The sequence below is a fragment of the Homo sapiens genome, chromosome 1, assembly GCF_000001405.40.
Source record: "Homo sapiens chromosome 1, GRCh38.p14 Primary Assembly".
Taxonomy (NCBI): domain Eukaryota; kingdom Metazoa; phylum Chordata; class Mammalia; order Primates; family Hominidae; genus Homo; species Homo sapiens.
This window is the reverse complement of record NC_000001.11, coordinates 160115250-160138995: the sequence shown is the minus strand read 5'-3', so window position 1 is coordinate 160138995 and position 23746 is coordinate 160115250. Positions and strand designations below refer to the sequence as shown.

Here is a 23746-nt window from a genome sequence, read left to right as displayed (position 1 = left end):
TCACGTTCCTTCTCTATCAAATGGAGATTTTACCTTTTTATCATAGGGTTGCTGGGAAAATTAAGGGAGATAACACGTGAAAAGCTCTGCAATGTTCTGTCACTGAAATGTTCAGTGACAGACCTGGAAAATGTTCAGTCACATTATTACTCCACTTTTTTTTTCTGAGACAGAGTCTCACTCTGTTGCCCAGGCTGGACGATCACAGCTCACTGTAACCTCCACCTCTTGGGCTCAAGTGACCCTCTTGCCTCAGCCTCTCCAGTAGCTGGAATTACAGGTGTGTGCCACCACGCCCTGCTAATTTTTATATTTTTTGTAGAGATAGAGTTTCACCATGTGCCCAGGCTAGTACCAAACTCTTGGGCTCAATTGATTCTCCTGTCTCAGCCTCCCAAAGTGCTGGGATTACAGGTGTGAACCACTGTCCCCGGCTACTCCATCTTTTGTATTCTTACACAAGGTACCTCTTTTTGGTTCAAGCCAGTGATTTCCAAATTTTCACTCACTAAGGACCTCCTTATTTTCTTCTGTAAAGGCCACATTTAATTGTTTGTCTCTCAAGCTACATTTGTGAATAAGTATTGAATACATTTCCCCATTTAAAATTAATTAGAACTATCCATGGCTTCCAGACAGAACTGTGAATCAGCATCCGATCACCACGTCATGATATGCGCTCTTGGCTTTTGCCTAAGAATGACACATTAGTAAGCCTGGTTGCCTTCGCATAGGTGAGTGCTTTATTTTCATAAAGCTTTTCAAAATAAGGCAAATAGCATCTCTGAGGATCCCCAGTGGCCCAGGGACCTAAGGTGAGGCCTGTGGTGGTATTAGTACTCTTCCTCTGTACCCAGCCTGATTTTCATTTGCCATTTTTCCCATTTGCCTCTAAGATGGGCTGGATGCAGCCACTATGGCCATGTTCCCACCTTCGTGTGTCATCCCTGCAGTGCATAGCAAGTCCCAGGCCCCAGAATTATACCCAATTTCTTAGACTCTCTGCTCCTTGTTCTCTTCAAATTGCATTTTTTTTCCATTAGTATTTTTAGCTTACTGGAATCTCCTTCCTTCATGTTACCTTTATTTATCTAACAGGCTTTTCACTTTATTCTCCCTTGGATCTTAAGTGTTATTAACTTCACTTTGGCATCTTCTCCCCACCCTCCCCAGCCCCAAACTAAGAAACTGTAACAACCTCATGTGAGGAATTGTGGCCATTGTTTATGGTAGGAGAAAATAAAAGGAACCAGCATGAAACCTTCAGCGCTCAACCACCACCCATAATAGAATCACAGTCATTACTGAGTTCCAAACAGTGCCAGATGGTGTGAGCACAGAAATGTTGGGTAGTAGCCAGGGCTGGGTTTTAGAGACAGATCTGGTGAACCCTTACCATCTTGGTGACCTTGGGCACATCATTTAACCTGTTTGGGGCCTCTTATCCATGAAATGTAAACAGTAATACCCACCTCATAGAGCTATCGTGGGGCTAAACAATGTGTTAGGCACTTAGCACAGTGCCTGGCACGCTGGAACTCACACTGCAAGAAGCGCTGAACCCGACCCTCGGCAGCACGTGGCCTCCAGAACCACAGTGCAAGTGCTATAAACTAGACTGCCTGCGGAAGGCCAGGGGAGGGGTGGGCACAGAAGACACTGGATTTAGGGCTGGGCAAAGGATAGGAGCAGGTGGCACTCAAGTAGGAGATGGGGGAAAGAAGGGAGGGAGAGAAGGAGAGAAGAAAGGTGGAGAGAGACAATAACAAAATGCAAAATTAGGAGCCTGAAGCATGGCTTCTCTCTTCTATATGAAACCTATCTATGGATATACAGATGGAAGATTAAAATCTGATGCCCTCCTTACAGCTCTGGTCCAGGGCTGAGTTGGAAGCTTGGCCTGTGTGGGTTGGTGAGTGTGCCCAGAGCCTGGGTGGGTAGGTGCCATGGGGGTGGGCACTCACTTCATGCCCTGCTGGAAGACTGAGTTGCGGCGGGTCTTGCAGATGATGAGGTCAGCCCACTGCACCACCACGATGCTGGCAAAGAATGCCGTGTGGCACGTGAACTCCACCACCTTCCGCTGCTCATAGGTCTGGAGGGAGGGTGGGCAGAGACAGATGAGAGTGTCGGAGGAAAGGGTAGGACCAGAAGGTAGCATGGTTTCTCCTGATCCACCCCTAGCCCCAGTCCCAGTTGGCCACCACTGGCCACTCCTGCCAGGCATTCAGCTTCCCGTACCTTCACACATGTGCGCTGTGTTTACACAGCACCACTCACCCACTCCTGTCCATAGCTGTCCTCCAGATCATTCATGGTCCGGTCATCCCAGTCGAGGCGGATTCCCAGTAGCCGTGATGGCAGGAAACCGTTCTCTGCCAGGATCACAAAGTAGGTGAAGAAGCCACCCAGTGCCTGGATCATCCCTGTGGGTAGAGGGCCAAAGGCAGGGGCAGGGTCAGAGCAGGAAGCAGAAGGGGCACAGCCCCTCAGGGCCAGAGATGGAGGTCCCTGACCCTTGGGTAGCTGGCCTCTGTCCTGGAATTTTGCTTGGGGCTCATTCCTCTGAAAGCTGGGAAAAGAACCCTGTTGGGGTTCCCTCCCGAGGCCCGGGGCTTGGCGCACCGATCTGTCCGTAGGCCATGCTGATGAGCCTCTCATTCACCAGCTTGTCCGTCTGGGAGTTTCGTGGCTGCCGCTTCATGATATCACTCTCAGCTGCCTCATAGGCCAAGGAGATGGCAGGGACCTGTGTGGGGTAGGAAATGGGGCAGGGAGGGCATTTGAAGGGACGTAGGAGATGACAGAAGCAATTGATCTTCGACAGTGACGATCGTTGACACAGTTAAAAAAGCGTGTATTCAGACCCCATTGTCTTCCAGGCCTGTGCCTGTCTCCTGTAACCCCCACAGCTGGGGCCACTGCCCCAGTGCACCTCTCCTCCCTGCCACTGTGCCATCACGATTGCCTTGCCTGTCCCCTCCTCCACCTCCTGCGCTCACCATATCTGTGCCCAGGTCAATGCAAAGGATGGTCACAGTGCCCAGAGGTAGGGGGATGTTGGCAATGATGAACAGCAGGAAGGGGGTGATCTCGGGGATGTTGCTGGTCAGGGTGTAGGCGATGGATTTCTTCAAGTTGTCAAAGATCAGGCGGCCTGTGGGGAGATTCTGAGGGCATCAGGGAGGTCAGAGGGACTCTTCCCCACCCCCAGCCCCTGAAGCATGGCTGCCTGTCTTCCCAAGAGAGGAAGATTTTGTGTTCAAGGGAAGCTAAAGTGGGCTGGGCTGCCTAGAGTTGTGGAATGATTCTTCAACTGGGGTAAAGGGACAGGGAACAGAGGTGCCGGCTTCAGTATCCTGCAAACCATCCCAACCCATGCAGCCTCCTCACCCTCCTCCACCCCCGTGACGATGGAGGCAAAGTTGTCATCCAGCAGGATCATGTCGGCTGCCTGCTTAGAGACGTCAGAGCCAGAGATGCCCATGGCAATGCCAATGTCAGCCTTCTTCAATGCAGGGGAGTCGTTCACCCCGTCACCCGTCACGGCCACAATGGCTCCCTGGAGGGAAGACGGCCACACTTGAGGACGAAACCCCTTCCCAAGCCTGGCTCCTCGCCTCTCACTCCATGCTTGTCTTGGCCCTGTCCCTGCCTCCCCGGTCCCTGCCTGTCATCTGCCTCCCGTGGCTGTGCTCACCTGCCTCTGACATCCCTCCACAATGATGAGCTTCTGCTGGGGAGACGTTCGAGCAAAGACGATCTCTGTGTGGTTCTTGAGGATCTCATCGAGCTGCTCCGATGTCATGTCCTTCAGGTCAGAGCCGTGCACCACGCATGCCTTGGCTTCTCTGGAGGGTGGGTGGGGACAGAGACAGCTGACCCCTGGCACCTGTACCAGCCCCTCCTGCCCCCTGCCTCTCTTCACCACCGCAGCCTGCAGGCTCCCTGCTGAGCCTGCTTCCCCTGTTGCTTCAGTTCTCCTCTCCTCAGTACTCACTTCCCCCATTTCTCTTTGAGAATGTGAGTCTAAATCCTCACCATGGGATCATCGCAGTTGTAAGTGCAGTTTGCTAGGCCCTGGGCTAGTTTCTTTACTCACATCCCACTCCTACAGCAGTGGAGATGGCATCCTAATTTTGTGGTGAGAAAATGGAGGCTCAGGAAGGGAATGTGACATCTCCAAGGTTACATGGGTATTCAGTGGCACAGCCTGGATACAAGCTCAGGGCTGAGGAACCAGTCACAATAGTGTCAGAGGTAAGGCCTATAAAGGTCCCAGAAATGCTATCCAAATACTCCCAGGGGACACCCAAGCCTTCTGTGCAAGAGGACGTGTTGATTAGGGCACAGGGGCTTCCTGCAGAGGCCTCACCTGGGGTTGACTTGACTCATGGGAATGTTGAGCCGGGCTGCAATGTCCTCCACAGTCTCGTTACCCTCTGATATGATGCCCACGCCTTTGGCAATGGCCTTGGCTGTGATAGGGTGATCCCCGGTTACCATGATCACCTAGTGGGAAGGAGAGGAGACAACAGGAAAGTAGTATTAAGGGTTTATCCCCCTCCTGTTCCTCTCCCAAAGTAAGAGAAAGCTAGATAGCGAGATGTCTGGGGATGGCAGATCCCAACCGAAATAAGGGCATGTGTGTGTGCGTCTGTGGGCAGGGGAGTGGCTGGGGTGGGGTGTATGTGTGTGTGTGTATGTGTGTGTGTGTGGGGTGTGTGTATGTGTGTGTAGGATGTGTGTGTGTGTGTGTGGGTGGGGATTGTGTGTGTGTGAGGGGGTGGGGATTGTGTGTGTGTGTGAGAGGGAATGTGTGTGTGTGGGATGTGTGTGTGTGTGTGGGGTATGTGTGTGTGTGTGTATGTGGGGTGGGGATTTGTGTATGTGTGCGTGTGTGTGAGATGTGTGTGTGGGGGGTGGGGATTGTGTGTGTCTATGTGTGTGTGTGGGATGTGTGTGTATGTGAGGTGGGGATTTGTGTGTGTCTGTGTGAATTTGAGTGGGTGGGTGAGGAGGAAAGATAATGGCAAGTTGAGTTATGTTCAGAGGGTTAGAGAGAGATAGTTTGCTTAAGTGCAGGAAAGTATCCATAACAGAGTAACAAGTTCATGAGGATCCCCTGGAAGAGAAGCCTCAAATCTTTAGGATTATTTAGGAGATATTTTAGGATTTTGGATTTCATGGGATTCAAGGCAGTCAGAGCTGGAAGGACCCTTTAACAACTCCTTTATTTTACACATGAGGAAACCAAGGCTTAGAGAGGGGCTACAATTTGCTCAAATGCACAGGGACCTGGATATAGGACATGAGGTTCTTAGTGTCAAATATTGATCACTGCAGCAATGTAATGGACAGAACAGGAATAAGATGGAGACAACACCCCTGCCTCCACCACCTTGAGCATCTGCCTCTGACATCCTCCCTGGTGAGCACGGTGGTCCCTACCTTCACCATAATGTTCATTGCTATTGTTGCAGAGTGAATGGAGTTGGGATGGGGAGGGTGGCTGGCATCTGATGGGCTAAGAGGCTATGAGGTGAGCAGAGTTGGGTTAGGATAGCATTTGCATGTGTGGGCTTGCAGGGCAAGTCCTATGGATACTGAAAAGGAAGCCTCCATGGTCCCCACTGCCTTATCTTCCACTCCCACCACTTCACTGAAACTGCCACCCAAAGGCCACAGGGGCCTCTCAATTGAAAAATGAAAAGTGTCTTTGCCGTCCTCATCCTACTTGACCCCTCTGAGGCATTTGGCACCGTTGACCTCTTCTCCTTGAAACCCTGCCCTCCCCTGGCTTCCACATACTCCTCCATTCCTGTTTTCCCTCCACTCCTCTGCATGCTCTTTCCCAGCCTCTCAGGGTGGCAGCCTAGTAGGATGGAAGAAGCAGTGGCTTTGGAGTTGAATGAGGGGCTCAAGTTTAAACACCGACCTTCTCCAGCTACAGCACCTTAGGCAAGTGAAGCACTGAGGTCTCAGCACAATGCAGAGATGATTCCTGCCTTTCTAGGTGGTCATGAAGATTAAATGGCATTGGTTCCTACCACCCTCTCCCCTCCTCACTGGTTCCTCTTGTGCCTAAATGTTGGTTTGGCACAGGATTTCATTCTCCTCCCTTCACTTGACCTGTCTGCTCTTTCTGGGCAATATAATACAACATACTATAAGCCTTTAGTTTGCACCCTTGTGCTAATGAGATTCAAATCTCCAGTCCTGACCATCTTTCATGAGCTCTAAACCATACTCCAATGTTCACTGGAACATCTGTCTTTCCTGGGGTATCTTATAGACTCTTTAAGCTTAAGGTCAACATTGAACTCCTTTTCTCTACTCCTGCCACCCCACCAAGCCTGCTACTGCTCCCTACCTTAGATGTTGTCCTCTCTATTCATCCTGTCCCCTTCTCTCCTGTATCTTCCTCACCTTCCATATCCAGTTTGGTCACCAAGTTCTCAAAACATTTCTCAGACATGGCTATTCCTCTCCATTCCCTTTGTTTCTGCCCTAGTTCAGGTCATCATTCTTTGCCTGAACTATGGCAATGGCCTCTTAACCTGTCTCTCCCTGACTCCAGTTCTTCCCCAAATCCAGTCCCTCCTCAAACCAGGTAGTCTCCTAAAAGCTCAACCTCCCCCGTGACACTGATGGCTCTCTGTGGCCTGCAGGATAAAGCCCAAGTCTGGCATTTAAGCCAAGTCCTTCCAACTGGCTCTGACCCAGTGTTCCAGTCTCAACCCCCAGTACTCCTTGCCACCTCTCCCCTGCCAACCCCTACACACGCTCCGTACAGTCTAGCCACGCCAGGGTACACACTGTTCCCTGATCTTGACATGCCTTCCTCTCCCTCACTGCTTTGCAGAATACTCTTTGACCTCCAAAGCCCAGCTCAAATATCATTCCTTTTGTCAAACATCGTCCAGTTCTCTGAGGCAGAATTAATGCTTCCCTGAGCTGACTTCCCATAGAGGTCCTCTGCCCAGGCCTCCGTGATGGTTCTGATCACAGAGAGAGGCACCTGGCCAAGCAGCAGGAGCTCAGGCTTTCCGGTCAAGCAGATCATGCTTCATAGTCCCAGTCCATCACTTACTGGTGGTTTTATTTTGGGGAAAAGACTTACCCACTTGCAGTTTCCATTTGTTTTACTTTTTTTTTTTTTTTGAGATGGAGTCTTGCTCTTGTCGCCTAGGCTGGAGTGCAGTGGCCTAATCTCGGCTCACTGCAACCTCTGCCTCCCGGGTTCAAGTGATTCTCCTGCCTCAGCCTCCCAAGGAGCTGGGATTACAGGCACCTGCCACTACACGTGGCTAATTTTTGTATTTTTTTTTCAGTAGAGACGGGGTTTCACCATGTTGGCCAGGCTGGTCTTGGACTCCTTATCTCAGGTGATCCACCAGCCTTGGACCCCCCCAAAGTGCTGGGATTACAGGCATGAGCCACTGTGCCCAGCCTTGTTTTACTTTTAACAGGGATAATGATGCCTGCCTCGGAGACAGAGTGGTTATGGGGTTCAGAAACCACATACACCCACAGAAACAAGTCTCCTGGTATGATAGTTAAGAAATAGCAGACTGCCTTGGTTCAAGTACCTGCTCTATGACTTACACTAGCTGTGTGGCCTTGGCATGTTACTTTGTGCCTCAGTTTCCCTCTTTGTAAAAAAGGAAAAATACTGGTGCTTATTCACAGGGTTGTTGCGTAGATTAAATGAAATCATAGAGGTTTAGTGCTTAGAATAGTGCCTGATTTATATGTGTCCTCCCTGGCACAGCTCATTGTCCCATCTAGATGTGTCATGTGACACAAATTGTTTACTATGTATCAGGCACTGTGCAAGGTGCTAGAGTTTGCACCTTGCACAGTGTCTGAAACATAGTAAACAGTAAATATTTGTTGAATGAAGAACAAACATAGCACAGAGGAGGGAGTGGTCAGTGAGAAGCAATTGTAGTTGAACAAGAGAACCTTGAGTGGGAGGCATTCTGTGGGGTTATGGGCTGAGCCACTGGGAGCATACAAGAGCCTGCTAATCCCATCCTAAGTTGACAGAGAGGGTGGGCAGTAGTTGGGAAGGGTAGGACAACTAGGTCTTCAAGATAGGAGTGCCAGATTATGCTTCAAATCAGAATGGAAGGGTACACATGCAGATGGGACAAAGAGCTGTGCCAGGGAGGGAGAGGAGGGGCATGGGACACTGGCCTCTCTGAGCAAAAGGGATAAGGGTGAGTGCCCCAAGGCAGGGGTGGGCCTTTCCTTGCAGATGGACAGCTTCTTCTCTGAGTCAGTGGGAAGGAGGCCACCGTGGCCTGGGCCTTTCCAGGGCAGCAGCCACTGCAGCTCCTTGAACTCTGGCATGGGGGAGGCTAGAATGGAGGGGAGGATGGGAGGCCAGTACCTTGATGCCTGCGCTTCGGCACTTGCCCACAGCATCTGGCACAGCAGCCCGGGGAGGGTCAATCATAGACATGAGCCCCACAAAGCAAAGCTTCTCCGTGGGAAAGTTCAGCTCATCCGTGTCGAATTTGAAGCCCCGAGGAAACTTTCCAGATGGCAGATTCAGTTGACAGAATCCTAAAGGGGGGCAGAAGGGATCAGTGAGATCCGCAGAGTGGCTTCCTGGACGCCCCCACAGTCCCCCACCCCAGGGATGCCGCAGAGGCTTGGGAATCCCCTTCTGAGCCTCCTGTTTCTGGCCTCTCACCCAGCACACGCTCCCCAAGTCCCCCCAGCTCCATGTAGGCATTTTGAAAGGCATCTTGCATCTCCTTGTCGAGCGGGATCTCCTTGCCCTGCACCAGGATGGTGGAGCACCGGTCCAGAATGCGCTCTGGGGCCCCCTTCATCACCAGCACGTGGCTCTGGGGGCTGTCTTCTCGCTCGTGGATAGACAGCTGGAGAGACAACAGGTAGTTACAGAGAGGGCCATACTTGTCTTGGTAGCGCGGCATAGAGCAGCAGCTGGTAAGGAAACCACCTTAGAAAAGTAGCCCCAACCCATCAAAGATTGTCAACAAAGAGAATCTCCTTGTGCAGGGGGGTGTTTAGACCTCACAGTTCCAACACTTGTAACCTGAGAGCCACCTCCGTAGGACAGTCTTTCATTCAACAAATATTTATTGAGGTCAGGTTAAGACAGGCACTGTGCTAGGGGCTGAACGGCTCCCTCCTCAGCATCCCCACCACCACCTGGCCTCAGGGGGCTTTACCTCTATGGATAATAAGGAATGCTGAGATTGCATTCTTGGCATTTAACAGGTGCCTAAAGGCTAAGGGGCACCATAAAGGAATTACAGAATTATGGTTTCACTGACTGGGGTAGAAGAGTTGGAAGGCTAGGCCAGAGGATGCGGAGCTATGGGAAGAAGAGTTGAGAGAGTGACAGATTGTAGTAAGGGATGGAGTAAGGTTTGGGAGCTGGGGCTAGTTGCAATCAGACATGCAGTCATATGAGCTGTCCTGGGGGACTTAGCAGGGGGAGGGAACATGACCCTCAGACACCCCCACTCCTGCTAGTGATGATTCCCCTTGGCTTTGTCCACCCTCACCCATTTATATCCCTCTCTCTTCCTCTGTCCTGGCAACCCAAGCAGACCTGGTACTTGTTGGTAGAGTTGAAAGGAATCTCTGCCACCTTGGGGTTTCTGTCTCTCATTTTCCTCACTGAGCCACAGGAGAGCTCAATGCACTTGAGCAGAGCTGACTCAGAGGCATCACCAGCTGTGTCCCGCTGCCAGAAGAGACAAGAATTCAGTGTCAGCATGGGAGGGAAGGGAGTGGAGGATCAGGTGAAGGCGGCACTGAAACCCCCAAGGCAGCCACATCATGTGAGAAGGAAAGCTGGGGCCAGCAAGAGGCTTTGGAGACACCCCCAAAACATACCTGGTGTGTGTCCTGACCCCCTACCTTAGACACGGAGATGTTCTCCTGTCCTGCCTTGAAGACGGCGCGGTTGCAGAGACCAGCAATTCGAGACAGGGCCGTCCACGTAGGGGATCGTTTGTCAAAAGTGGCCCCTGGGAGGAAATGAGGGGGAACCAGGAGCGTGGCTCCCTTTAGAGCCTTTATCTCAACCACTCACCCCACCACGCCACTGCCCTCAGCCTCCTCTAATCCTATCCACCCCCTCTGGAGCACCCAATCACCAGACTGATCTTCGGTGGTGTCAGCCTCATGGATTTGGTTGTCGAACCACATGTGGGCGACGGTCATGCGGTTCTGGGTGAGGGTGCCCGTCTTGTCCGAGCAGATGGTGGACGTGGAGCCCAGCGTCTCCACCGCCTCCAGGTTCTTCACCAGGCAGTTCTTCCGTGCCATGCGCTTGGCTGTCAGGGTCAGGCACACCTGGTAGAGAAAGAGGAGAATAAAAAAGGTTAAGGCTGAAGCCGGAGATGGCCATAACCTTACCCTAGACCGTGGCTCCATTCCTCCTCCCCTGATTCTACTCCACTAACTTGAATGGGTGGGACTTAGCTGTAAATAATGAATGTTCAATTTTAGATGTGTTGAGATCATGAGTATCTGTTAAGATGAAATGCCCATTAGGGGGTTTAAGACGTTTGACTAGAGCTCCAGAGAGGGCCAGAGCAGAGCTGAGCATAGGGATGTCTGAGTCATCAACACAGAAGGGACACTGCAAACTGGGAGGAGATTGGCTCTTGCTCAGGGTGTAGGAAGAACAGACAGCTGAGGCCTGAGAATCAGTGTAGGGGGAGCAGGAAGGGACAGAGGAGAGGCGAACCAGGATAGTGACACATCACAGCAATCGACAAAAGAGAGAATGGTAGGAGGGTGGACAGCAGTATCTGTTTCAGCAGCAGAGTTAGGGAGGAGAGCTGAGAAAAGGTCCCTGGATTTGCTAGTTAGTGACTGGTGACCTTTGAGACAGCCTCTACAGGAGACTTGGACGGAATGAGACCCAGACTGCTGGCAGATCGTGAGAAAAGGCAGCCGTGACAAGCTCCAAAAGAGAAACTGAGTGCCTAAGAATAGCCCCACCTGAGATTTCTCAACTCATACCCTAAGCCATGTATTAAGTGATCTCTGAGTATCGCATCCAATAAGTGACTCTAGGGGGAAAAAGTAGTGAGAAGCTACAAGCAACTGTGCCTCTATCACTCTGAGGAAAGAGTAGTGAGACCCTCCCCTGGTGGCACCTCAGCCTGACCCACTCACAGTGACAGTGGCCAGAAGCCCCTCAGGCACGTTGGCCACTATGATGCCGATGAGGAAGATGACTGCCTCCAGCCAGCTGTAGCCCAGGATGAGGGAGAGCACGAAGAAGGAGACCCCCAGGAATACAGCGACCCCTGTGATCAGCTGGATGAAGTGTTCAATCTCCATTGCTATGGGTGTCCGCCCAACCTCCAGGCCTGAGGCGAGAGTAGCTATGCGGCCCATCACCGTCCGGTCTCCTGTGGCAATCACAATGCCCCTGGCAGTGCCTGCAACATGGTGGGGCATCAGGTTGGGTGCCTTGTGGCTCCCAGGGACTGCAGTCCCATCCTATTTCCTGAGCAAGGAAAATCATCACAGGATAGGTGAGCCAAAGCCGCAGATCTGGAGGCCACATTCAGTAGGTTGTCCCCACTTGGCCTTCCTTTCCCTGGATAGATCGCCAATCCTTGAATCAATACAACAGCAAATTATTTTCTCTTGTACTCGAGCCTGGGGAGAAGCTTGCAAATAATCTCAAAGTTCAAATAGACAAGATTCAATAAATAAAAATTGCCTGTGGCATTTTGGTAAAATCATTCCCATACTTGATACCATCCAAAAGTATATTATGAACACAAAGTAAAGCACTCATTATGGATTTTCCATCCAGTCTTAAGATTTTCTTTCTCAACATTAGGCATGAATCTCTATAGAGGAAGCCAGGCAATTGCTAACCCTTGTGTGACATTACAGGGGTCTTCTGGGAAGGAAGGGTGGTGTATTGAAAAAAGCATGCACATTGGAGCCAGCCAAATTTGGGTTTGAATCCTTATTTGAATTCCTATCTCGGTGCTGTTTTAATATTTAGATGAGATTGTGCTTTAATATACTTAGGCCAGTGCCTGGAACATAGCGGGTGCTCAACAAATATCTCATTTATTTCCTTTCCTCTTTTCAAAGCCAATTGCAGAGTAAGCAATAGGAATGTATTACTAGGCATTTCTGAATAAATCAATTGTGGGAAATGTAAATTTCAAAATCTCAGTACATTAAAAATTTAGGAAATTTGGCCAGGCTCGGTGGCTCATGCCTGTAATCCCAGCACTTTGGGAGGCTGAGGCAGGAGGATCACTTGAGCCCAGGAGTTTGAGGCCAGCCTGGGTAACATAGTGAGACCCCATCTCTAATATACATATATATATATTAGCTGGGTGTGGTATCACGCGCCTGTAGTCCCAAATACTCTGGAGGCTGAGGTGGGAGATCGCTTGAGCCTGGGAGGTCAAGGCTGCAGTGAGCTGTGATTGCACCACTGCACTCCAGTCTGGGTGACAAAGCAAGATCTTGTCTCAAAAGCAAAACAAAAAACAAACTTAGGAAATGTAATGTGTGGTGATTTTTATTTGTACAGTTGGCCCTCCATATTCACAGATTCCATGTCCATAGATTCAACCAACCTCAGATCGAAAATATTTGGAGCTAAATAAAAATAACAATACAACAATAAAAATAATACAAATTTAAAAACAAAACAGTATAAAAATTACATTGCACTCGGTATTATAAGTAATCTAGAGTTGATTCAAAGTATATGGGAGGATGTGCGCAGATTATATGCAAATATTATGCGATTTCATATCAGGGCCTTTGAGGATCCTTAGATTTTGGTAACGAAGGGGGTCCTGGAACCAATCCCTCATGGATTCCAAGCAGTGGAATTCCAACTTGTCGAAGAAGGGAAAAAAACCACAGAGAAACATAATACACTGAGGAGAAATGAGTAATGGACAGGGGAAGTGTGGATTGGGATATGAGGCCTCCTTTGCCCTATTTTCAGAGGCCACTGGTCTAGTGAGGCCTCTTTCTGTCTCTTCCCTCCTACTCCTTCTCTGATGCAGCCCTGACTCTGCTCACTGGCTTTACCACAGAGGGCACAGGTTTCAGTTGTGCTTGGACCCCTGCCATTAAGTGATGGCAGCTCTGGGAGTTCTTATTGACCTTTGTTTATCTCTAGAACCCAGAACAGGGATGGGGCAAACTGGGTAGTCTGTGCATGGTGAAACATGTCTTTTGATGTAACAAAGGTTAGAAGCAGCCTGAAGTAGGCCCCAAGTGTTCACCTGGCCAGAATGCCTTCTTGGCCCTCCCAGACCCTGGGGCCCTGGCCAAAGCAAAGGTTATCGAAGGGGGCAGCGAGGCCCAGAACCACAAGGAATAGAAGCATCAATCAAATCCAAAGACTCCTAAGAATCCAGGTTGGTTCTGAGCGTATGTGCATCTGTGTGTGCGCATGCGTAAGGGGTTCTTAACCCAATACCTGAAAGCTTTGAAATCCACTCAGTCTTGGGGTGGACAGAACAGAGATCTCCCTGGGGAAGGGAGATACATTTCCCATGGAGTCAGGCTGCCCTCAGTCAATACCCTGCTCTGTGGAGGGTGTTTCCATAATATTCAGGGCCCCCTGACCCCTCAATTGCCCCACCAATGGCAGAGCTTTTGCCAGGTAAGTACTACCAGAGCCCTTCATCCTGACTATGGATTCAGGATTCAGACTCTTTCCTACAGGGGGCAGCCTGGCTTCTCACCTTCAACACAGTTGGTGGAGAAGAAACAGATATTGCGGGTCTCCAGGGGGTTCTCATGGGTGAACTCGGGGGAGCGGGTCTGGGGCTCCGACTCTCCTGTTAAGGATGAGTTATCCACCTGAGGAGGAAGGAGTGCATAGTCATCAGACTGGCAGAGCCACTTGTATGCACACAGCTGTCTCCTGAACCACCTCCAACCACACTCAATCTTCATGACACGAGGAACAAAGTCACACTTGCCCTCATCACATATTTATGGCATTACTCATCTATTGCCCCTGCCCTGGTTTGGAATTCTGACTCCTCCTGACTTCTTATGTGACCTCGGGTTACTTGCTTAACCAAGAGAGCCTCCATGTACTCAACTGTAAAATGGTGAATGTAAACAGAATCTCTGCCTTGCACAACCACAGGGGGAGACACTAACACTGTAGTTATGAAAATGCACCTCCTGGGGTCATTCAGGATGCAACGTGTGTGGCCACATTCAGCAGCCCTGCATGATTACACCACTCTTTCAGAATTACATCAGATAGCACATCGAACATATATAAAGCAGCTGACACATAATTGGTATTCAATACATGATTGCTAAAAAGTGGACAACAAAGAAATACCTGGGGCATAGAGCATTCATAACACACAGATGCAAGGAGGCACTGCACAAGCACCCCACACTGAGAGAAGGTTTAGCAGGGGCATAGGCATGGTGTTGACATTTGGACCTGGGTCTCTCCACCTTTAAACCTCACTGGGCCCCTCTCAGCTCTGCACACAGCCTTCTCCTTAGACTCAACTGCTTGCTCTGGTATGACCTCCTCACCTTACAGCCATGAGAAGAGATGATCCGGAGGTCAGCAGGGACGCGGTCTCCACCCTTCACCTCCACCAGGTCTCCCACCACCACTTCCTCTGCGTTGATCTGCATCTTCTCTCCCTCCCGGATCACAAGGGCTTGCTGTGGGGAGCCACAGGCAGCTCATGAAATGCTTGTCTCTGCCCCTGCCTTCTTCTCCTGCTGGTCTCCCACACCGTCAAGCAGAAGGAGAAGCCCCATAAACAATTAGGTGCTGGCATGGAAAGCTGGAGGATCTTTTCTGTCCATCTCTATCTTAGAGCCTGGGAGCTGACAAAAGATGAGCTGGACTCTTGCCAAAACCTTACAGCCTAGCCCAGAGCCCAGCCCTGCCATCTTACCTGAGGTACCATGTTCTTGAAGGAATCCATGATCTTGGAGCTCTTGGCCTCCTGGTAGTAGGAGAAGCAGCCAGTGACAATGACCACAGCTGCCAGCACCACACCCAGATATAGCTGGTAAGGAGAAAGAGTTTCAGGGACCTGACCTTCCCCCCAACCCTAAAGGGGCAGCTGCCACTTGGGATGAGCAGGCAGTGCCATCCAAGATGACAGCCCAGACCTTTGTCTGTGACTGAGAGTGATGATGGTAGGGGAAAGCCCTTCTCACTAACCTCCCCCTTGATCTGCCAACCTCAAGCCTGTTAAGACTAGAAATGGGAGGGAAAGTCTTAGGAAGTTCCCAGGGTTAGGACTTTGCTAGGGGATGAAGACCCAGGCACACAGACAGGCTCACTTAAGCGGGGAGGAACAGGGAGAGATTGTTTCATTAATTAATGAGTATGTGAATGTGTATGCACTGTTGGCGGAGGAGTACTTTACAGATATATATAGAAGCCTCTCCCCTTTCCAGCCTAAGATGCAGGGGCATCTGTAGGACTGTTATGTGAGGGCCTTGTTCCCTGCCCACCCCCCACTGTGTTGGGGGTTCAGGGTTGGAGGACAGTCACGGGCTGTTCCCGGGTCGGGCGTGTGGGCTCACATTGTCGTTGGATGGTTCATCCTCCATGGCAGCCTGGATGCCGTAGGCCAGGAAGCAGAGGATAGCCCCAATCCACAGCAGGATGGAGAACCCCCCGAAAAGCTGACGGCAGAACTTGACCCACTCAGGGGTTGTGGGAGGTGGTGTGAGGGCGTTGGGCCCATCTCGAGCCAGAACGTCCTGAGCCCGCTGGTTGGTGAGGCCCTGAGGGAGCAAGGAGAGGCGTAGGGGCACGCATCCGGAGCCAACCCAGCCAGTCACCATGCCCATCCCTTCAGCTCCCGGGCATGGGAAGAATGCCCAGAAGGAAAGTCCCACCTGGTTGGAAGGGGTGGGGGACCATCAGGAGAGACCACATGGAGGAGGTGGCATTTGTGATGCAACTTGGAGGGCTTGAGGGCTGAGAAGGGTTTGACTGGGCTTGACCCCTAATTATATTGGATTGAGACAACACCTATGGTTAGGGCCATAACATCTCCCCTGGAGGCAGTCTGGATAAGCTCCCTGGAAAGACACCTCAACTGTTTTTTCCCCATCTCTCTTCCTTCAGATTATTTTATCAAGGATTCTAGGAGAGTCCTAGATTTTTTTTTAAGAGATGGATTCTTGCTATGTTGCCCAGGCTGGAGCGCAGTGGTGCAATTATAGCTCACTGCATCCTTGAACCCTGGGCTAAAGCAATCCTTCCACCTCAGCCTCCCAAGTAGCTGAGACTACAGGTGGGCACCTCCACACCCTGCTCAAGTCCTACATTATTGACCGTCAGTGTCACACAACTTTGGCAATCACCTGTCACTTTCCACAGAAAGCCTTGCCTGGCCCTATTCCCTCAGCCCCAGGCTGGTTCAGATGCTTCTTTCTGGTTCCCCATGGTGTTCTATACTTGATTCTAGAGCTGCACTCACCATATTGCATTGGAATCCTAGGATTGCATTTTTTCTGCTACTAGACTTTGAGCTCCTTTAAAGCAGGGACCGTTTCTTTTTTTTTTTTTTTCATTCATTCATTCATTTAATAAATGTATATCCAGTGCCAGGCACAATTGTCACTCTGCGGATGCAGAGATGGACAAGACCAACAAAGTCCCTGCCCTTGAGGAGCTTATGATCTGGAGAGGTGACACACAATAAACAAATACATATTAGTGCCAGATAGAAAAGTGTTACTAAGGAAAATAAAGTAAGGTAAAGGAATAGGGGCATAGAATTTTAGAAAGAGCAGTCAGGGAAGGCCCATAAAGGAGATATACACCCACTAAATATTTGTCTGTTTGTTTGCTTGTTTCAAGATGGAGTCTCACTCTATCGCCCAGTCTGGAGTACAGTGGTATGATCTCGGCTCACTGAAACCTCCGCCTCCTGGGTTCAAGCCATTCTCCTGCTTCAGCCTCTCGAGTAGGTGGGATTACAGGTGCCCATCACTGTGCCAAGCTAATTTTTGTATTTTTAGTGGAGATGGGGTTTTGCCATGTTGCCCAGGCTGCTCTCAAACCGCTGACCTTAAGTGATCTGCCTGCCTTGGCCTCCCAAAGTGGTAAAATTATAGGCATGAGCCACCACACCCAGCATTTTTTGATTAATGATTTTTAAACAAATTTTTAATTGAAGGGCTTAGCAATTGACTGTACCAGTTACTGTTCATGTGACCTTGGGAAGTTACTCTCCCTCTCTGAGTCTCCTTTGTTTAATAAACAGGTCTGCAATACCTATCTCAAAGGGTTGTTGTAAAGATTAGAGAAATGTATGTAACGCATCTATCACAATGTCACATATGTAGCAGGGGCCCAGCAAATCACTGTAACCACAGGAATGGGCTGTCAGCCCATGTGCATCAGCTGTCAGCTCTGTGGAAGGCTGTGTGCAACTGAAGTTGCTTGGGGTATAGGGAAGGGCCCTGCCTGGAGGCCCTCTGGGGCCTGGGTCATAGGGAGTCCTGGCTTCTAGGGTATACAGGGAGAGAGCTTTGGGCTAGGATGCAGGGGATCCAAATTCTAGTTCTGGCTGTGCCACCAACTAGCTGCATGTCCTTGGGCCAGTCCTTGTTTCTGGGCCTCAGTTTCCTCATCTGTAAAGAAGGCTGGATTACAGTTTTAAGGCTCCTGCCACCTTGATGCTGCATGGTTTTCTTGCCTCTTTTGTTCCTTCCCTAGAAGCCCCTCCACTCACCTTGGACAGGTCCACTTGGTATTTGCGGCCCAGCTCATCCAAGGACAGCTTGTGGTCATCCTGGGGAAGGGAGGGTGAGTTACTTTGGGGAGGAGGTATCTAAGATGCATATGAGGGTACTGCAGGGCACAGGGGTGAGTTGAGCAGCATGGGGGACACGGAGTTTCTCTGAGTGCAATGGGCTGCAGGGACAGCTCTCCCAGCATGGGGCCCCTCCTCCATGGCCCAGCAGTTCCCTCACCATTGCCACCTCCTTCTTCAGCTCATCCAGTTCCTTCTCCTTCTGTTTCTTCTTGCCGCCCCCATTCTCTGCCGTGGTGGCGGCAGGTGAGTACTCACGGCCAGCCTGAGGGAGGAAGGGAGAGCCAGAGAGTCAGGGAAGAGAGGGGCTGGGGCCTCCATTCCCACCACTCAGCCAGGGAGCCCAGGCAGTGGGGGTGTGTGTTCAAAAGCAGCGGCTGCCTTGGGGGAGATAGGGGGGATGGAGGGTGAGGGACCCTAGGCCCTCAGTTTGTAGACTATTGGCAGAACCAGGGGCTCCCATGTGAGTTTCAGAGAAGGGTGAGGGGCTCAGGACTGAAAAGCACCACTTGAGTGGTTTAATGCTTGGGCTTCTGCTAAGATTTTGTTTGTTGAAAGGACCCTGCTGCTAAATACAAAACAAAACAAAAATTTTGAAAACCTGTATCCTACACTATTTGGGAAAATTCTGGAAGGGAGTGGACAGGGTTTTGTGGGGGGTTGTTGAGGGAGTAGAATCACTCTGTAGGAATGTCTTAGCCCAACACCATGGCAATTTTACTTAGAGAGGGGTAGAAATACTCAGGAACTTGGGGGAGCAAGAGTCTTTGGGGAGCCAGGGGATTAGGCAGGAACGTGTCCAGAGGAGAGCCAGGTCTGGTGGTGGAATGGTAGGGATGGAAAGAGCAGGCCTGATGGACTGAGAGGAGGCAGTAGCTGGAGAGTCAGGGCATGTCCAGGAAGTGGAGACATGGGGTGTGCTGGGAGCCCTCTCCATCCTGCTGGGCAGGCCTGCCCGTTACTAGACGGGAGGCAACTCACAGGACTGGACCCCCAAAGCACAATTGGGTAACATGGGAACTGAGCCCCATTTGTCCCAAAACATAAGAAATTGTATCTGAGAGTAAATCTAAAACTACATTTTATATAGTTTTTAAGTCTAGACATTCCTGGGTCATCTGGTGAATCAGATGGCCTTTTTTTTTTTCTTGAGACAGGGTCTCACTCTGTCACCCAGGATGGAATGCAGTGTGCAATTTCAGCTCACTGCACCCTCCGCTTCTAGGGCTCAAGCAATACTCCCACCTCAGCCTCTCAAGTAGCTGGGGCCACAAGCATGCACCACCACGCTCAGCTAATTTAAAACAATTTTCTTTCTTTCTTTCTTTTTTTTTTTTTTTTTTAGATATAAGGTCTCACTATATTGCCTGGGCTCAAGTGATCCTCCCACCTTGGCCTCCCAGAATGCTGGGATTATAGGTGTGAGCCACTGCGCCTGAGCAGATGGACATTTTAATTGTAGTCTTATGAGGCTCCTGATTTCCCTTCCACTCCAGGGCCTGTGGGCTCACCACTACCAGCCTTCCAGGGTCTCACAGGGAACTTCTTGGGGACAGGGTGGGAAATCTTTCCTTCTAAGAGGAGGCCCTCTTGGGGTGATAGAATAGGATAGAGGCTGAGGAAGGCCTGGGTAGCCATGAAAAGTTCCCAAAAAGGTACCTTCTTACTTCCTCTTCTGCCCCAGTCTTCTCTCCTCCCACTTCCCTCAGGAAATAGAGTCCTTGTCATAGAGGGGCTGCTCAGTTTCCACCTGGTGCCTATTTCTCCACTGGATTCTGCAAAGTCTGCACTAGGCTTTCAGGAATTAGTTTTCCCACACTATGATGTTAACTTTTGTTTCCCATAAAGAGTGGATACCTGGGTAGGGTCCACAGCCAAGGTGTTTGCTTTTTTTTTTTTTTTTTTTTTTTTTTTGCAGGATAATGCAGTTTTGGGGGTTTTGTTTGCATTTTAAAAAATATACTTTTTTTGGAGCAATTTTCTGGTTCACAGCAAAATTGAGTGGGAAGTAGAGAAAGTTCTCATATATCTCCTGCCCCCACACATGCACAGCCTCACCCACTATCAACACCCTGCATCAGAGTGTTACATTTGCTGCAATCATGAACCTGCATTGATACATCTTTATCGTCCAAAGCCCATAGTTTAAGTTTGAGTTCACTCTTGGTGTACATTCTATGGGTTTGGGCAAATGTATACTGACGTGTATCCGCCATTGTGGTATCATATGGAATAGCTTCACTGCCCTAAGACTTTTGTGCTCCAGGGTAATGCCTTTTTTACTTATCAGAGTCAGGAGCAATCCCAGAAGTATGGCAGCTGCCTTGTTCATAAGAGGTCGCCAATTCAGCATCTTGAGAGGTAGAAGTCTGACCAGTACAATCAGAAGCAAGGGTAGGGGTGGGGGATGCAAGGAGAAGTCAACACTGTTGTTCCCAAGATACCAATGATTTAAAAAGATATGAGCTTTTGGAGGCTGTGTTGCTCAGAAGTGCTCTTCTCAGAAAAGGTGACCAGTAAAATCGTGGGTTTGTCTCCACCTGAAGCATCTATGAATCTGGTATAATTTTGGCCTCCTAAAGGCAGATCTTCTTGGGGAGACCGAGCAGCCCAATGGAAGGGGTGGGGAAAGGCTTGTGAGTGGTTCTGCCTCTGCCTTTCTCAGGTGACCTAAGAGGATTCATTTAATTGAGTGGATTGAAATGCTTTACATTCACTAACTGTCTGTGGTGGGACAGAGCTGAGAAAAGGAAGAAATGCAATCAAGGGAACAGAGGCAAGAGATCAGGCTGGCTGAGCTTCAGTGTGACCCTCAGGAACTTCAGGGACAGAAGGGGGCCCAGGCATACACAGAGGAGCAGGGCTGGGTCTGTGGGCAGAAGAGCAGGGTGCAGAGGAATTTCTGTATATTCAGATGTGAAATAAATTTCATAAAAATTGGAATAAAATGCATGCTTTTTAAAAACTTGCTGGTCCATGCACTTTGGCATGCTGGATTGTGGCTGAGCTAAGCAGCTCCACGCAGTGCCTCCTTTTCCCAAGCTCCCGCCCTGCTCTCCAGCAGGCTTAGAGCTTGAGACACACTGCCCCTTCCCCCTCCTCCTGTCCTGGCAAAGATCTCAGGCTCTGCAGCCAGGAGCCTGCAGAGATTTGGGGCCAGCGGCTGCCCAGGCAAGAAAGAAAGAGAGGAAGCAAGGACCCCCCCAACCTCCCTCCACTCCTCCCTCCCCCAACCACAAGTCCCCCTCTCTGGGTCTTGAATGCTGAAGGAGAACAGAGAGTCCTTTTTGAGAAAGCCAGAGGCTGGGACAGAGTGGGGGCAGCTGGGAATCCGCCAACGCTCCCCCCATCTCAGCCTCTCCGTGGTAGCTGGAGCAGGCTGGGCTCCCTCCCACCAGTGTCGTCCCTTCCCCCAACTCCCACGCTGCCCTTCACAGCCACTGGGTAATGGGGGGACAGTGAAGCCTGCCTCTGCAGTGGAGATGCAGGGGAGAAGGGATTGGAGGAAAAATCATCCCTAGAACAGGTTGTGGGTGTCAGATGCCTTCCCTCTTCAGGGGTCGTTGGTAGGTTGAACTCTAAGCTCCAGGCCCTAAATACCCCCACCTCACCCAGCCTCTTAGTTTAAACAGCCCAGATCTGCTCCTCATCTTGCTATTGCATCACCCACAGCAACTTAGGATGGTGATTAAGGGGAGTTTGGGGGTGCTAGGGGAAAAAGACAGACTGGAAAAGTCAAGGTCTCATCACTTCCCAAGCAAGACCTCCTGAGCTGGGTCTACCTTGCTCTAAGATGGAGCAGGGTAGGGGGCTACCTCCCCTCCTTCTCTCTTCACTTGGATGGGGGAAATGGAGGGCTTATCTGATCCTTTAACCCCTGCCTCTTCTCAGAGGTCCTGCATCTCAGCTAGGGATGCCCTTTCCATGGGGAGCCAGAGATGTCAAGATGCAGCTGAAGGTCCCAAGACAGTATATCTTCCTGCAGCTATGACCTCTTCCTCCGTGAAGCCCATACCTCACAGCTCCTAAGGGCAGGCTCACAGACTCTCAAGCACCCCCACACAGTGACATTTATGCTTGTGCAGGCTTGAAGGCTTGTACATTTACAAATTTGCCTGCTGAGACACAAACACAGGTACTCATCCATGAGTAACTGCAGGACTCCCCGCCTATGGAGAACACGTGGTCAAGGACACACACTCACACACACACAGACACAGACACACAGATACATGCATGCACTCCAATTCTATTTATGGCTCCAACCCTAGCTCAGGAACCCTGGTGTCCAGGCTCAGGATTTCCCAGCTGCTCAACTAGGTGCAATAACATGTCCTTGCCTGACTCCTCCTGGGCCCAGAAACACCCACGGCTCCCCCTAGGCACAGTCTTCCTCATACCCTCCTGTTCCGCAGCATGCCCTTTCCCTCTGTGTCCTCTTTTGCCAGTATTCCACAAAAGGAAAGCAGCCAGGCACAGCATGTAAAAGGATTGGGCCACTCTTCTCCATATGGGAATTTCATTTCCAAGAATTCAAAGCCCTCTCCCTGCCCGCCCCATTGTTGTTAATCTTCCTCTTGGTGTAGCCATTGCTGCAGAATGCCATGGACGGGTGGACTGGGGGGGGGGTCACCTGTCACCAGCCTCTGGGAAAGTCCTCAAAGCCCATGGCTTGGAACCCACGGACAATGCTGCTCGGGACATCCGGAGGGGTGCTGGGGTGGGGGCTGGGTCATCATTCTTCCTCCCCACACCCCGCCCAGCTGTCCTTGGCACTCAGGGCCCCTGGAGCTGGTGTCCGGAACTACTTGGTGACTCTGGGAGCCGGATGCTCTACTGCCCCTCTCTAACCTCAAAATGGACCCCCAGCCTCTCAGGCTAGGACTCCCAGAGGAATGGATATTTTCAGGAGGTGGCAAAGACAGGAGGACTCACAGTGCCAAACATCCTTTCAGCTGGGAGGCCGGGAGATGCAGTGAGAGGAGGGACTGCTGCAGGGAAGGACTAGAGATGTGGGAGTGGGGTGGAGGGAGAGATGGAGGGGGCATGTGTGGTGGGCTGTGGGTCTAACTGTGGGCAGGGGGCTGGGGCGTGCAGAGGAGAGGAGAGCACTAGGGTATGTGACCGCCGTGGGATCTGTACACACATTGGTAGTTTGGAGACTGTTAGTTTCAAGTTCCAAGTATCCCACTCAGCTCCTCTCTCCCGCTCCTTCCACATCCCATTCCCACTTCATCCTTCCTCAGCAGCCTCCCTCACCCTCTAGACTGCGACCCCTGCTCTTTAGGGATACTCACCCCACGGCCCATCTTGGGGCAGAGTGGCTGAGGGACCTTAGCGGGAGAGGTCACCAGGAGGATCCCAAGCCCACACCAGCCCGTCTGGGACAGTCGGAGACCCTGGCAGACAGAGAAAGCCAAAGCAACAGGGTAGCTTTAAATAGGTCCTTCTCCCCCTCTCCCCCGCCTTCCCCTCCTCCGAAAGAAACGTTTGTTGAAACAGGATCCCTGAGGACTCCTCCCCTCCCGCCCCTTTAGCCACTGGCCCTAGACAGCCCGTTTGTCCCACGGCATGCCCCCCCTTGGCTCCTCTCAACCCCCTCTGGCCTGTGGCACTCACAACTGAGAGAGGCTGCAAGGGAAGGGGGCCTGGGTCCCAGGTTGGGGGGATATGCCCCCTTGGATCTGGCTGAAGGGGAGCAGTTGACTCAGAATCCCAGGATGACAGAGACCATGTGGCCTAACTCTTCTTTTCCAAGTGGGTAAACTGAGGCTCAGAGAGATTAAACAATTTGAATTGATAAGACAGAGCCAGAACTCAGGTCTCCCGAGTCTACATCCAATCTCCCAGAGAAAGAAAGAAACATAGACCACTCTGTTCCTTCTATTATAGAGGTTGCAGGGACACTGAAGCCCAGAAAT

At 50.8% G+C, this 23746-nt stretch overlaps 1 protein-coding gene across 2 annotated transcripts in view, besides 2 other annotated features; it reads right to left on the bottom strand.

The window, feature by feature from the left end:
• Nucleotides 1–23237, bottom strand: part of ATP1A2 (ATPase Na+/K+ transporting subunit alpha 2) — a 27833-nt gene extending 4596 nt beyond the window's left edge. Inside the window, exons 1-20 of one of the 2 annotated variants that reach the window (NM_000702.4) lie at nucleotides 23123–23237; nucleotides 17986–18090; nucleotides 17745–17804; nucleotides 15580–15783; nucleotides 14940–15053; nucleotides 14566–14700; nucleotides 13743–13860; nucleotides 11176–11444; nucleotides 10146–10344; nucleotides 9907–10016; nucleotides 9596–9730; nucleotides 8705–8894; nucleotides 8399–8574; nucleotides 4376–4512; nucleotides 3701–3851; nucleotides 3394–3562; nucleotides 3003–3157; nucleotides 2626–2749; nucleotides 2281–2426; nucleotides 1965–2095 (exon numbers count right to left, since the gene is read on the bottom strand). In NM_000702.4, the coding sequence (NP_000693.1) occupies nucleotides 1965–2095; nucleotides 2281–2426; nucleotides 2626–2749; nucleotides 3003–3157; nucleotides 3394–3562; nucleotides 3701–3851; nucleotides 4376–4512; nucleotides 8399–8574; nucleotides 8705–8894; nucleotides 9596–9730; nucleotides 9907–10016; nucleotides 10146–10344; nucleotides 11176–11444; nucleotides 13743–13860; nucleotides 14566–14700; nucleotides 14940–15053; nucleotides 15580–15783; nucleotides 17745–17804; nucleotides 17986–18090; nucleotides 23123–23134 (2840 nt within the window). In that variant the 5' untranslated portion in view covers nucleotides 23135–23237. Of the gene's footprint in view, nucleotides 1–1964; nucleotides 2096–2280; nucleotides 2427–2625; nucleotides 2750–3002; nucleotides 3158–3393; nucleotides 3563–3700; nucleotides 3852–4375; nucleotides 4513–8398; nucleotides 8575–8704; nucleotides 8895–9595; nucleotides 9731–9906; nucleotides 10017–10145; nucleotides 10345–10474; nucleotides 10611–11175; nucleotides 11445–13742; nucleotides 13861–14565; nucleotides 14701–14939; nucleotides 15054–15579; nucleotides 15784–17744; nucleotides 17805–17985; nucleotides 18091–23122 lie in introns of those variants that run through there. The other variant, XM_047421286.1, reaches the window with a different exon arrangement.
• Nucleotides 13600–14799: an enhancer, noted in NCBI's record as "CDK7 strongly-dependent group 2 enhancer chr1:160093987-160095186 (GRCh37/hg19 assembly coordinates)". NCBI's record gives its function as "activates an origin of replication core promoter dependent on BRD2, BRD4, P300/CBP, MED14 and CDK7 cofactors, with strong dependence on CDK7, by STARR-seq in HCT116 cells {active_cell/tissue: HCT116}" and the evidence as "EXISTENCE:reporter gene assay evidence [ECO:0000049][PMID:35650434]".
• Nucleotides 22963–23746: an enhancer, noted in NCBI's record as "H3K4me1 hESC enhancer chr1:160085040-160085823 (GRCh37/hg19 assembly coordinates)". NCBI's record gives its function as "activates a minimal SCP1, AML or CMV promoter by ChIP-STARR-seq in naive H9 embryonic stem cells {active_cell/tissue: H9 hESC(naive)}" and the evidence as "EXISTENCE:reporter gene assay evidence [ECO:0000049][PMID:30033119]".